Source organism: Homo sapiens, chromosome 1 (genome assembly GCF_000001405.40).
Source record: "Homo sapiens chromosome 1, GRCh38.p14 Primary Assembly".
Lineage (NCBI taxonomy): Eukaryota > Metazoa > Chordata > Mammalia > Primates > Hominidae > Homo > Homo sapiens.
In genome coordinates, this window is record NC_000001.11 from 17,754,871 (window position 1) to 17,768,827 (window position 13,957).

General features: G+C 52.2%; 1 protein-coding gene across 2 annotated transcripts in view, besides 1 other annotated feature; it reads left to right on the forward strand.

Moving 5' to 3' along the window:
- The first annotated feature begins 462 nt into the window (after positions 1–462).
- ACTL8 (actin like 8) overlaps positions 463–13,957 on the forward strand; it is a 71,731-nt gene continuing 58,236 nt past the window's right edge. Inside the window, exon 1 of one of the 2 annotated variants that reach the window (NM_030812.3) lies at positions 463–634. The gene's annotated coding sequence lies outside the window, so the exon portion shown is untranslated. Of the gene's footprint in view, positions 635–4,458; positions 4,617–13,957 lie in introns of those variants that run through there. The other variant, XM_011542212.3, reaches the window with a different exon arrangement.
- Positions 13,189–13,755: an enhancer, noted in NCBI's record as "H3K27ac-H3K4me1 hESC enhancer chr1:18094554-18095120 (GRCh37/hg19 assembly coordinates)". NCBI's record gives its function as "activates a minimal SCP1, AML or CMV promoter by ChIP-STARR-seq in naive H9 embryonic stem cells {active_cell/tissue: H9 hESC(naive)}" and the evidence as "EXISTENCE:reporter gene assay evidence [ECO:0000049][PMID:30033119]".

The following is a 13,957-nucleotide window of genomic DNA, read 5'->3' on the forward strand; positions in this document are numbered from 1 at the left end:
GCAGGAACTTTTGCGCAAAACTTGATGCTTCCCTCATTCTTGGGAACTCCCCTTCATTTTCCAGTGGAGGGTGCATCTCCAAGTTTGCAAACTGTTTTCTGTACTAAAGTCTCTTTCCTCTAAATTTCTTTTCAGAGAATTTTGTGCATAATGTAAATGGAAACTTACAGATTGTGCTGCTTTGCGTCTGGTTTCTTTTACTCAGCATAATACGTATATGATTAATGCATTTGTTTTATGTATCAGTAGTTATTTTCTTTTTCACTGCTGATATTTCATTGTTGCTGGTTGTCAAATTATTGCCTCTCCGCTCCACATTCACCCTTCTTGCCTGCTTGGTAAAAATGGATCTGGGCCCTTTAAATTTTCTCCCTGGCCAGCAGGCATGCTGGGCTTTGCCAGTAGAGGGCGCTGGGGAGCCCCAGCAGCGGGGAGGTTCCGCTTCCTGCTTGCCACGTGCTCACAGAGTAGGCTGCGGCACCACGTGCAGCCGCTCTCGTGCAGGCGTTTGCAGTGTGCAGCTGAGTTCGGCAGCTCACACAGCACCCCTTTCAAGTTGTTTTGCAGTGGGTGCCTCTTGTGAGACACTGTTTCTGAGAGCAGCTTTTGTGGCATCTTACAGGGCAGATTTCTGGTACGTTCTAAAAGTTGAATTTCTAACTTTGGCTGGTTGTGGCCCCTGACTGTTTTTTTTTTTTTTTTTGTCCTTCCTGTGGCACAGCCATGCCCTCTTAAGCAAGGCCTGGCTGTCAGCCCCCAAGGGTTTGTGTGTGGGGCACTTCTTTGTGGGGTTGGGGAGTGACAGGCTCTACCTCAGACCAAGGGCTTTTCCTTAGGGACTTGATTTCAGCTTTTGGAGGAGACTCTTCCATAGCGGCTGTACCTCAGCCACATGTGTGGGACTGGGGGCCCTTCCTTGGGGGCCCAAGCTTAGCCCCTTGTGGGGGCACCGCCTGGAGGGGGTTATCTCAGCCTGGTGGAGGGTCCCTTCCCTGGGGTGAGGGGCTCTTTCTGGAGGTCTCTATCTCAGCCTGATATGGGGGTCTCTTTTTGGGGCTCTATTTCAGTCCTGGGGTGGGGGGCTGTTCCTTGGGGGCTCCACGTCAGCCCTGGGAGGGCTCTTTTTTTGAGGACGTTTACTCTGTCACAGGTGGCAGGAGGGTGTCTCTTCGGGACTCTACCGCAGCCCTCAGGGGCTTTTTCTTTGTGGACTTTATTTCAGCCTTCGGAGGGGACTCTTCCTTGGGGGATCAATCACAGCCCTGGGTAGGGGGCCCCTTCCTTGGTAGCTCTGGGAGCTCTTCTTTGGGGCTCTATCTTATCCCTTGAATAGGGGCTCTTCCCAGGGGGCCTCAGCCCTGGGGGCCTCTTCTTGGGAACTTTTTTTTAAACCTCTAGTGGGGGACTTATCTTTGGGGAACCTATGAAAGCCCCCAGGGGCTCTTTCTTGGGGACTCTACCTTGGCCTTGAGGGGTTCTTCCTTGAGAGCTTTGTCCAGCTCTGGTTTGGGGGATTCTTAGCGGGGGGTTGTTTATCACAGCTCTGGATGGGGTCTGGTCTTCAGAGACTCCATCTCAGCTCTGTGGGTTGTGGTTGCTCCTTGCGTCTGCTGTTTCTGTATTAATTATCGTTCTCTTTACTCCTTATCAGTCAATTTCTTGTTAATTCAGTTCTCTATTATAAGTTAATAATTCTTCATATGAAACTTTCCCTGTAAAAATCACTGTATGGTGTCCTTTCCTTGACTGGACCCAAACTGATACAGAATTGGTGTCAGGAATAGGTATCAGGAGATGGAACCACAGAGGTACCATTTTGGGAGTGGTTTTCTGGTGATTTTGGGCTTGGGTGTAGTGTCAAGTTCCTTGCCAATGGGAAATGGGGTGCTAGTTACCCAAGGCATGTGGTGACATTATATGAGTCTATCATTTGCGGTTAAGACAAAATGCCACCTGAGGCACGTCTGTTGGGAGCCAGAGTGATGCTGCACTTGACTGTGTGGCCATAATGAGGACTGTGAGAACTGTGGGGTGGGATGGATCCTTTTGAGGGCTCCTGTCTTCAAGGAACCAGATACTATGCTCTATTTAAAACATACATAGGCAGGCCGGGCACAGGCATGGTGGCTCAGGCCTTTAATCCCAACACTTTGGGAGGCTGAGGCAGGCGGATTGCTTGAGCCCAGGGGTTTGAGGCTGCAGTAAGCTATGATTGCACCGCTGCACTGTAGCCAGGTGACAGAGCAAGACCCTAGCTCTAAAAAATAATAATATAATAAGAATTTGAAAAATGTGTAGATAATGACATAGAAAATGACAAGCCCAGGTCCATTAACTCTTCCTTCGAGCCACAGTCTGAGAATCAGACAGCTTCCATGGCAGCCCTTAAGGAAGTTCTTATTTCTTGCAGCCACAAGGCTGAGACTGCTGAAAATAAAACAAAAAATTTAATTGTGCTGGTTGCTGAATTATGACAACAGTTGGAATCACATCTGGACAAATTAGGGCATGAATCGTGAAAGAATGGGGTCCTGAAACATGGAATGGGGGCAGTTGTTGGACTCTGATGAAACTGACAATCTAAACTGCAAGTCACTCTGAGCCCACCCCCCCCACCCCCACCCCAACTTATCAAGTGGAAATACCTTTCCCTCCGCAGTGCTGGAGGAGACTGCTTTTTCTCTGTTAAGAAACCCTGTGATAATCTCGGCTGGAGCAGATGCTGTTCTCAAGACTCATCACAGCCACCTGCTGTTGTCACTAGCCCCTAGCTGTGGTCAGATCTCAGCATGTTCCACGGTGGCGGGTATACACAGACCTAGGAGGAAACAGAAAAAGAACGACAAGACTGGTGACATGTATGGGAGTGGATTCTAAGGGTTTTAGATCCAGGAAGGCAGAATGTAACACTAGCCTGGGCTGGATGCATTGATACGGGCACACTCATTAGAGGTTCTGAATTTGGCTGTTAGCTTCTGCAGCTGGAGGTGGCTCTAACAGCTTGGTTGGTTGACTGAAACTTGGACTTGACAGTAACCTGCAGTTAATGAGGGTTGTGATGTCATGATGTGGAAGAGGGAATCCAAAGGCTTGGGGAGACCGCAATGTTGGACTGCATGTATCATGTCTAATCTGCACTCCCCTGCTGCCACCACCTATGTTCCACAAGAAGGACCCAAAGACAGAGACATAGAGAGATCCATTAGTGAGGGAGCCCCTTTGTCCTTGAAATGCACAGTGGCTGCTCTCTTTTGTAGGCCACTGTGAATATAGAGGCTGCCTCCATTGAGATGGGCTCCCTGATTTCAGTGGGGATAAGGGGGTCCTGGAGTAGCAGATACCGAGGGGCAGCACTTCACTGTCAAGGACAAGGTGGGCACACATTGGAGAGGGTAGCAGGAATGTATGGGAAGGCAGAATGCCTTTGCCCACAGGGATTTCTAGTGGTGGTGAATTGATTAGAGTGTCTCTGGGAATGAAATAAGTGGGCAGCCTACTAGAGTATTATTTCATGTATTTTTATATGTGATAGAAAGTTCTAGGCCCGGTAGCCAAAACCTGGCAATTGATAGTCATGGCTTCTCATTCAGTTTCCAGACCCTAAGTCAATTCACAGACCCAGAATCCCTGGGTGGCCGGGTCCCCTTGAGGAAGGAGCCTGCATCATTGCCATAAATACTTATTGTAAATCTTCCTCCAAACCTTCCTCCAAAGGGACCTGTGACCATTTACCAAAATAATAGGGAAATGGACATACCCAGACAGTTCTGGAGTTACTTGGCACTAACTCTGAACTGATGCTGTTTCCTGGGGATCTAAAATGCCACTCTGGCTCATAAGTCAAAGTGGGGCTTGTGATGGTCAGGGATAGAGTCTTAGCTGTAGTCTGACTCTCAGTAGATTTGCTTGGTCCATGCCCACCCCGAAGTTATTTTCTGAGCTCCTGAATAAACAATTAGAGTAAGCACACTTGGTAATTATCCATTTTCTTCTCTCTTCTTCCCATTTTTGTTTTATATGCAAGTTTTTGGAAGTCGACTTTATAGTCTTTAGGTGACAGAATGTTCCATGGAACTGTGATCGGTATTTAAGTCCTAATAAATATAGTCCATGACGACTCCTGGGCCTATTAGTCTCCTTGTTTTGGGGAGTGAGTGAGAACTTACAAGGATGATAGCTGCATCTTTTTAGATAGAAATACGCAGTTGTGTTGTTGTACAGGACTTCAGTGGTGTGCAGGAGGATTCATATGGAAGCTAAGTAGTCAAAGAGATGGGCTTTTCTGGTTATCAATTATTGCTTTTCTGTGTCCAATCACCCTTCTTGCCTGCCTGGTGAAAATGGATCTGGGCCCTTTAAATTTTCTCCCTGTCCAGGCAGCAAGCTGGGCTTTGCCAGTAGAGGGCGCCGAGGAGCCTCTGCAGCAGGGACCTTCTGCTTCCTGGTTGCCACGTGCTCACAGGGCCTGCTCCTGCAGCACGTGCCGCTCAGTGCTGGCTGCTGCCGTGCTCAGCAGAGGCCAGCAGCACCTTATTTTAGGCAGTTTTGTAGTGGGTGCCTCTGGTGAGACACCTCCTGTGAGCAGCTTTTGTGGCACCCTGCGGGGCAGATTTCTGGTAAGTTCTACAGGTTGGCTTTCTTGCAAGTTCTGCTGGTGTGCACCAGACCAACTTTTTTTCTCCCCCAATGTAGTGAGGCACAGCCATACCCTCTTCAGCAAGGCCTGGATATCAGCCCTCAGGGGTGTTTGTGGGAGGATGCTTGTTTCTGGGTGGAGGCTCCTCCTTGGGCACTCTGTCAGCTCAGGTTGAAGAACTGTTCTTTAGGGGCTCTGCCATAACGCTGGAGTAGAAGCCTCTTCCTTGAGGGCTGGATGTCAGCCCTAGAGAAGGTGCGTTTGCTTGATACTCTAGCTCAGCACTGGGTGGGGTGGGGGACTTTTGCTTCTGAGGGTCTCTTTCAGCCCTGGGGGGCAGCAGCTGCTCCTTTTGTCTCCTAAACCTATATTCTTCAGAGTTCCCTTTACTTTCTAGCCAGTTTCTTGTTAATTCCACCTCCCATTATGGTTAATAATCCTTTATATGAAACTTACCTATTCAAATGACTGCGCAGCTTCCCCCTCCTAATAGGATGCAGAGTGATGCCCATTGTGCATACTGGCCACAGTTTGTCCACAGTTTTCCTGTGGACATTTCCAATTTGGGGCTATTATGAATAATCTGTGATGTGTATTCTTGAGTGGATGGGCTTTTTTGTGTTATGCGTTTTCATATCTCTTGGATAAATACCTCGAATGAGGTTCCTTTGGGAAGGCCAGGCCACAGGGCTTTCAATTTGTCTAGAGGGTGCTGAGGAGCTGCTGGAAGTTTTGTGGGTCTATTTTAAGTAACACTGATGGATTCGATGTGGGTCTTAGAAGGAGTGAATGGGAGGGGAGATGCCAGTCTTCAATTCCCCAGATGAGGGTGGCAGCTCAAACTGGTGACTTGGTGTGGGACTTTGCTCCATTGTCTTTTTCCTAAACTGTGAAATGGGTTTTTCACAGGCGTGCATAGGATCGTTGGCAGGACTGAGTGGGATGAAGCATGAGGGGCACTTGGCATGGGGCTGGCATGGAGCAGATGCACAGTGGTTGCAGCCAACAGGACTGCCATTTTTAGGTGTTTCAGGCAGGATGTCCTAGCTTCCCCCTGGTGCTAGCCATTATGTGTTCACAGTCCAAGAGCCCAGGGGGGTGGCAAAGGGTCTTGGTGCCCTGCTTAGAGACAACTCTGGACCTAGAAGGTGGGGCACAGCTGCCCGTTGCTGTGCAGTGCTGGGCACTTTCTGATGCCTTCTTGTGGCATCCCTCAGAGGAGTGGGTGGACAAGGTGGCCTTGGGTTCTGGGCACTTTGCCCAGCCCCCTGACAATCACCTCAGCTGGCATCTTGCCTGTCCAAGCCCCGAGCTGCTGTGCCCCAGCAAGTCAAGCGGCCATGATTAGTCAAATAAAATTTCCATCTGTTGAAGAATTTACGAGAGTTATTACTGGCTATAAAACCGATCTGAGGAGAAAGATGGATCCGAGGGGGTAAGTGCCTCTAATTATGTGCGGCAGTGACGTTTAAATAAGGTAGCACAAGTCCTTATTGGAGGGAGCCAGGTCCCTATCCCTCTCTGGGCCCAGAATGTGGCCAGACTGGTGGGGGTGGGTGCTTCACTGCAGAGGGAGGAAAGAGGAGCTACCCTATGCAAACTCGGGGACAGGGGTCATTGCGGCTTAATTTTTTTTTTTTTTTTTTTTTGGTAGAGACAAGGTCTTGCTATGTTGCCCAGGCTGGTCTCAAACTCCTGGGCTCAAGCAGCCCTCCCGGCCTCCCAAAGTGCTGGGATTACAGGTGTGAGCCACTGTGCTTGGCCACTGTGGCATTTAGAAAGATCTTAGATGCCAAAGGGCCTAGCGCAGTGCCTGGCATGCAGCAGTGACTTAATAAATGCATGTTTCTGCTTTACCTGCTTCCCTCCTACCTCCGGGGACTGAGCTGGGCCGCTTACAGGATGCAGGAAGTGGTCTCCCTGGGCCAGGCTCTTGTTGGCACAGACTCTGTGTGATCCGCCCAGGTAATCTTGCTGGGTCTTCATAGCTTCGACTTTAAAGTGGGACAATTAATTACCGAAGGAACACGGGGAAGGCAGGCTTTTGGGTATGTGGGCCCAAACTTGTTCTGTTTTTTTTTTGGGACTGAGTCTCGCTGTTTCACCTAGGCTGGAGTGCAGTGGTGTGATCTTAGCTCACTGTAACCTCTGCCTCTTGGGTTCAAGTGATTCTCCTGCCTCAGCCTCCCAAGTAGCTGGGATTACAGGCACCCACCACCACGCCCAGCTAATTTTTGTATTTTTAGTAGAGACGGGGTTTCACCATGTTGGCCAGGCTTGTCTCGAACTCCCGACCTCAGGTGGTCCGCCCTCCTCGGCCTCTCAAAGTGCTGGGATTACAGGCGTGAGCTGCCGCGCCCGGCCCTGTTCTTAACACATGACTTAGCTCTAATGCCTCCAGCATCTAGGGAAGGAGATCACATCGTGGGTTTCTCCTCATCTCAGGTGGGAAGGTCTCGGGGGTCCATGCGCTCACCTGAGGTCACCTGGATCCCAGATGCTCCTGCCTTCTTGGAGGAATGTGGCTTTAAAAGGCCAACCCCTAACCTTCACCTTACTCAAGATACTGAGAACAAGACCACTTGGGAGCAAATGTGGCCTCCTGGTAGCTGGGGAGAGCCGTGAGATGGTTGGTGCTGGAAATTCTGCCTGGAGTCCGGCATAACTGAGTTCCCGGGACCCAGGGTGGAGACGAATAATCCCATCCCAGAGAGTCCGAGCCTTCAGATATAGGGCTCCGGGGCCTGAGACTCTGAGGTCGTGCAGCAAATTCGTGGCAGGTCCACTGACTGCTAGGCCAGGGGTCTTGTCGCTGGTCCACGCAGAAAGGAAGGATGGCTACTTTCTGTTCCTCCCCTGACCACCACCCCATCAAGCACAGACCAGGCCCCACCCCCTGGGCCATTTAAAACCAGAGGCCCAGGTGCTGTGGCTACGCTTTCAGACCGAGAGTCAGCTGTTAAAAGGCTCACACCTGGGCCGGGAGCCATCCGAATTCAGTCTTCCTGAGGCTCTGGCTCACCTCCAGGCAGGTAGGTCTCACCGTGGGTCCCTTTCTCTCGGCCAGGCAGCTTGAGTGTGACTGTTTGGCAGTGGTTGTGCACTGTGTCTGGAGCCCCTGGTCCCCGATATCGAACCCCAGGGGGTTGGGCTGCAGGTGGGAGCCCAGGGGCTGGCGTTTGTGGTGGGGCTGCAGGAAAAACCAAGCTTCTCTGGTCAGGTTGTGGCCTGTGTGGGTGGTCTTCTCCTTGGTGCCCCCCGCCCCCCAAGGCCTTGTTCCCCGGTGACTCCTGAGCTGTGGGCCCCAGGTGGCAGTGGAGGGGCTCCCACCTCTGGCGCTTTCTGCGTGGCCTCCCGGGGACTCAGTTTTCCTCTGCGTCCATGGGGGTGGTAGGGCTGCCTGGTGGGGCCCGCGCAATAATGGAATGAGTGTGTGTGAGAGAGGGGGACCCCAGGCCTCTGATTCCTCGTTCGCCTTTTGGGGCCAGGCTAGGAGAAGCGGTGGGGAAGTGCTTACCTTGCCGTGGCAAGTTGATGTCTCTTGGACTGAGACCTTTGGGCCAGAGTAGCCTAGGTCTCTGGGAATTTTCATTTCATCCTGCAATGAAAGAGCCTGGCCTGCGGGTCCCCAGACACTGTGGGCTCTGGGACAGCTATGGAATTTCTGTCTTTGGATGGCTTCTATCGTGCTGAGGGATTCATTCTGTCTGGGTTTCACGTTGTTTAAAACCAGGTGGGCTGGGGAGCGGGAGTGTGTGGGGGCTGTGTTGATGCACCCCTGTGTTGGCCCCGAGCTGGCCCAACGCTCCTCTGACCTCGCTTTCAGACCGTAGAGTCAAGTGACGGGGTAGCGTGGGGGTGCTTTGGGGTGTGGTCTTTAGAAAGCCTCCCCGGAGGTGCTGGCATCCCTGGTTCCCTCTTAGTCATAATATGTGACCTCCATGGCTTTCCCATCTCAAACTCGGGGTGGAGTGGGTCCCTCAACCCTTTTCCCCACTTCTGCGGGACCCTCGGCCCCTCCCCGTGTCCCCTGCCTCCAGCCTGGAAGGAGGTTCTGACGAATTGGAGGGCTGCAGATCCCCCTGCTGGCTCCACAGCCTTTGTAAGCAGCTCATTACGTCTTCCCCATCCTATTCCTCATTAGCCGCAGGTGCTCTCCATGAGAGGGTTGCCAGGATTTCTGAGTTTTAGTGGCACCTAGGGCAGGGGAAGGCTTATGGCAAAATGTTCCTTAGTCTTTTCTCCCCCATTCCCTCCCCCTGCAGAAAAGGATGAGCGGTTGGGAGCCTTGGGGCTGACAGGTTTTGTGAGTGTGCAGTGGGGGCTTCCGCCCTCGGGAAACAGGGGTTGGCCCTCTGGAAACAGGGGTTGCGATGGAGCTCCATGCTTTACCGGCTGATGACTCAGCAGGTCTGAGCCTCAGCTTCCCATTTACTAAATGGGCTAACTGGGACAATGATTGATCTAGTGCCTTCTATCATGATAATCATTATTTTTGATAATATGTCCCAGACAAGAATAGCAAAGGTTGGAAAGCAGCTCTGTGTTGAGCTGAGCAGGGCTCGGGAAACCCCGGTGGGGGTGGGGGTGGGGGTGCTGGTGCTTTCATGGAGGCAGAAGCCTCTGGCTGGTCCCTTCCCTTGGTGGGCAGCTATGGTCCAGTTCCCGGCTGACAGTGGGGCTGGCCTTAGGTGTGACGCAAGGGGTGGGTAGAGGCCAGGGAAGCTGCTCTGTATCCTGCAGTGCACAGGCCGGCCCCTGCTGCAGACAGTCATCCTGCCTCAAATGTCAACAGTGCTCAGGTTGAGACACCCTCAAGCTCCATGCCTGGCACATAGTTGGCTCTCTATAAAGCTTGGATGAACACCAGTGGGCAAGCCAGGGGGGACTGGTCATAAAGTCAGCCTGAAAACTGGGGGTTCACTTCTTTCCAGCCCAATGTTTCTTCTTATTGCTCTGTTAGGCATGGTCAGGAATGCTACGAGGTTCTGACAGGCAGCTTCCAGTCCTGGGTACCCTTGGAGGTGGGGTTGGTGATGCTGTGACTTCAGCAGCCTAAGCTTCTGGGCACCCCCCCACAGCATCTCTCATCCTGATGCCTATTGGGTTCAGCCTCGTCCTCCTTGTGTCGCCCCCACGCTGTTGATGATCCTCCAGCCCCACTTGGCATGCCTGATGTGGCCTGAGAGCCTGGGTTTTAATAGCTGAATATTTCTTTAAAAGAAATTCCACTTGTCTTGAGGCCCGCGTTCCTCCAGCGTTGCCTGCCTGGCTCCCCGGGGGAGTTCACGCAGAAACTGATGTGTTAACAGGCTGCAGTGTCTCCCTTTCCATCTCTCCATTTAGCCTCCCTTGGAGATGGCCTGGTCGCTGGCTCTCTGTGCCCTTGCCTAGTGGCTCAAGATGGCACATGACTTGGGGCCCCCGGATCTGGGTAGGGGGGCTGTATAGACACCAGATGTTGGAATCCACCCAGGTAAAGCCACCATGATGCACAAGTCCCAGGTGCCAACTGTGCAGCGGTTGGGGGCTCCAGCCAGAGTGGAGTTGGAAGGGATGCTGCTGGAATCCAGCTTGTGGGGAGATGGTACCAACTGGAGGTGCTGGACGCTTCCTTCTTTGAGATGAGCAGGCAGCGATCACCGGGTCTGGGGCTGTGTGGAGCAGGTTGGGGCTGGCCTTCCTCCTCTGGGTCCCTGAGTGTGGTGGGCCTGAAGGAAGAGAAACATGTCAACTTGGCTGTCCAGGCCAAGTGTACTAAAGAGTAACCTCCACGTGGGCAGGGATTTTTATCTGCCTTAGTTCACTGTGGTGTCCTGGTGCCTAGGAGAGTGCCTGGCATGGAGGCCGCACTGTCCCCCACTCCTTGCCTCCAAACCACCTCTGCTTGAGCTCTACCTACAGACAGGACCCTGTGCTTTTTACACATTAACTCATCAGACACTCGCAATAACCATATGGAGTTGGTGTGATAACATACCCATTTGACAGGTGAGGAAACCGAGGCCCAGGAAAGTGAGGTAACGTGCCCAAGCCCCTCTCCATGGCAGGCTATGTAGCATCTCTTAGGTCTCAGCTCAGGGTTCCCCTCTTAAGAGGTCTGACCAGAGCCCTGGCTCCATTCCACACATGATGTCATTGTTGCTCCCTCGTAGCACGTCACCCGGCTCTCTATAAATGTCTGATTCACTCACTTATTCACGATCTGTCTCCACTCCCCGGAATGTGAGGTCTCTCAGGACAATGTCTGGCCCCTTGCAGGGCAGAGCTGACTGGTCTGACCTGACATCTGTGCTCTTACCCACCAGGCTTTCCTGCCTGCCTGGTTTGATGAGCTGTGGGTTCATTACATCTGGCATGGGCGCCATTTCCCGGGTCCTAGGATGTGAGGCAGAGGTTCCCTCGAGACCTCTCTCAACTCCCAGGGAGTTAAATCTCACCCCAGGTTTTAGAGCAGCCAACTTCCTGTGGCCTGCCCTCCTGCAGAGTAATTACTGTAATTTTCCCAGTGTCACCCTCAGCCTTTGGATGATATTGTGACCAAAATGTGAGAAGCAATGACACCCTGTGACACTCCCAGCCCTTGTAATTGAGGCTTTGAAAGCACTGCTGATGTCTCCAAAGGCATCTGGGTGCTCCACGGCTGTGATGGAGGTGGGACCTCTGAACCCTGGCTTTTTGACTTTGGCTGCTTTGCAAATGTAGTGACTAATAGATGTGATGTGTTGATTCACTCCCCTGTCTTCCCAAAATTGTGTTCACATCCCTGATCCAATCTGGAGCCTTGTAGCAGCCTCGTGAGGCTGGGACTGGTACTTTGGCCCTGACTTAATCGGCAGAGAACTTGTGCATTCCTTGAAATTGTACAGCGTATGAGTGGCAGAGCCTGGCTCAAACCCGGGTCTTCTGCTCCCATGTCACACACACTCGGTCTGGGACCTCTTCTGTGCAAATATCCCATTCAAGAGGGCCTCCTGATTATTCTACCACTATCTAAAGTTGGTTGCAGAGTAGCAATAGCAAAAGCAAAAGTCACAACCTTGGGCGCTGACAGCCTGTCAGGCACCGTCCTAATTGACTTGCCATGTGTTAATGCATTTATTCCTCCCTGAAGCCCACTGTGGTGGGGGCTGTGATTATCCCCACTTTACAGATGAGGAAACTGATGCCCAGAGAGGGTATATTTAGCCCAGGACTGGGAGCCATAATGTGATGGAGCTGGGATTGGAACCCACGTAGTCTTCAGAGACCAAGCTTTGACCATACTGCCATATAAATCATCTAGAAAGCCATAATTCCTGGAACTTACTGCATTTTTTTCTCAGGGGTGTTCATTTGTTCATTCATTCCTAAGCTATGGTTGAATGAATGAATGAATGAATCTATTATGTACTGACCATTGTTCTAGGTGCTGAGGATTCAGTCCTGGGCAAAACAGACAAAGTTTTGCCCCCGTGCAGTTCCATTCTAGTTGGGGGAGACAAGATATGCAGATGATGAATGTGGTTTCAGGTTGGGAGAACTATGGAGAACAATGAATGGAACGGGAACAGAGAGTGATGAAGAAGGTGACTTTGGCCACAGTGGTCAGGGACGGGGGAAGCAGACACCTGAGGGGGAAGCGAGACGGGTGAGCATCATGAAGAAGGGGTTCCAGGCAGAGAGCAGCGTCTGCAAAGGCCCTGCGGTGGGACTGTGGAGGCCTGCTCTGGAAACAGTGAGGAGGGCATCAGGAGGTGAGGTCAGAACGGTAAGAGTGAGGAGATGCTGGGGTTGCATCGGATGATAGGATCCGACTTCGCTGCTGGAGACAGAGCCGGGGGATGAGGCGGAGGCAGGGGGGCCAGTGTGGGGGCCGTCCCTGTGGTACAGGGGTGAGACGATGCTGGCAACTTAGCCTCAGGGTGCTTCTAAAGAGTCTCTTCTTAGATATCGCTCTCTTCCCTTTCCTCCCGGACTGACGTCTGCACATCCTTCTCTCCCGGCTAAGACCTTCCCTGCTCTCCTGGGGGTTGAGTTTGGCCTTGTCTAAGCCCGTGGCTGGGTGCATGGCTCCCGGGCACTGCTCTTTTGTGGCTGCCTTGTCCAGTGGTTATTTGGTGCGCAGTAAGCCCTTTGCTTTTTGGGTATTGACTGTAGATCAGTGCTCACCATGTTTATCCTCCATAGGTGCTTTATTATTATTTTTGGCATCTGCAGAAATACCTGCTTTATGTGTTGCCTGCTCAGTTATGTCTCATTGTTGCCTTTATTTACTTATTTCACACGAGACAATGTCCCTGCTTGGCTTCTCGGCTCAGTCTGATGCCGTGACTGCTGACACGGGAGGAATGACACTGCGTTACTCAAGCAGGTGGCAGTGTGGCTTTTCTCGAAAGCATGAGGCCCCAGCCTCCCTGGGTGTGCAGAATGGGTGCTCGTGAATCCCTCTGGTGGGACTGGGTGTCTGTGGGTTCAGTCCTGGGGGGCAGGGGTGAGCATATATGTGATGTGGGGTTTTAGAGAATCAGTCAGGGCTCCGTGTGTGTAAGCAATAGAAATTGCCTCTGGCCAACTGCAGCAGAAAAGGAATCATCAGAAGGAAACTCTTGTATCTGAAGTTGGGCCAAAAGACTGGCTGGGAAAAGGTGGGAACCCAGCTAACTCTGGTTGGGAATAGGGTGGCGGGCAGGTGGGGGTGGGTGGGTGGTGTTTCTAGCAAGATCTGCTCAAGGCCCTCTGGGGACCCCACCAGGATGGGTGGCTCCAGCCAGCTTGAGAATTTTGCAAGACTGGAAATCCATGTACCCAGAGAGAGGGGACCTAACTGGTGGGGATTTGACCTTGTGGCGAGGCCTGGCCTGGCAGTGTGCAGGGCTCATGTTCAACAGTCCTGCCAAGACTGCAGTTTGGGGAGAGGATCACTCCTGGAAAGGAATTTTGGGGTGCTGGTGTCAGAAGAAGAGAGGCTGGGCACTTGGCTGCTACAAGTACCTCCTGTACCCTAGAAGAGCCACACATGTGAGCTGTGTTTTGGTCTTTTAAGATGCTAAGGATGGAGGATATCATCAAATGGAATGTTAAAGTACAGGACCGAGTTCCTCTGAGCCAGTGAACGGGCTGGGCTCAGAGTGCAGAGGGGTTCCCAGGTCTGGGGAAGTTTTGGACACAGTGATCCGGCTGGGCCTCTAGGGCTGGGTTGCCTGGAATAGGAGGGGCGTTTGGGGAATGGAGCTCTGAGTCAGGCTCACTGCAGGGGCGAAGGCCTGGAGGCTGGGTTTGGTGGAGGTGAGGGGCAGAGTTGCTGACTCACTGCTAGGGAGTGGGGAGTGAGGCTGGAGC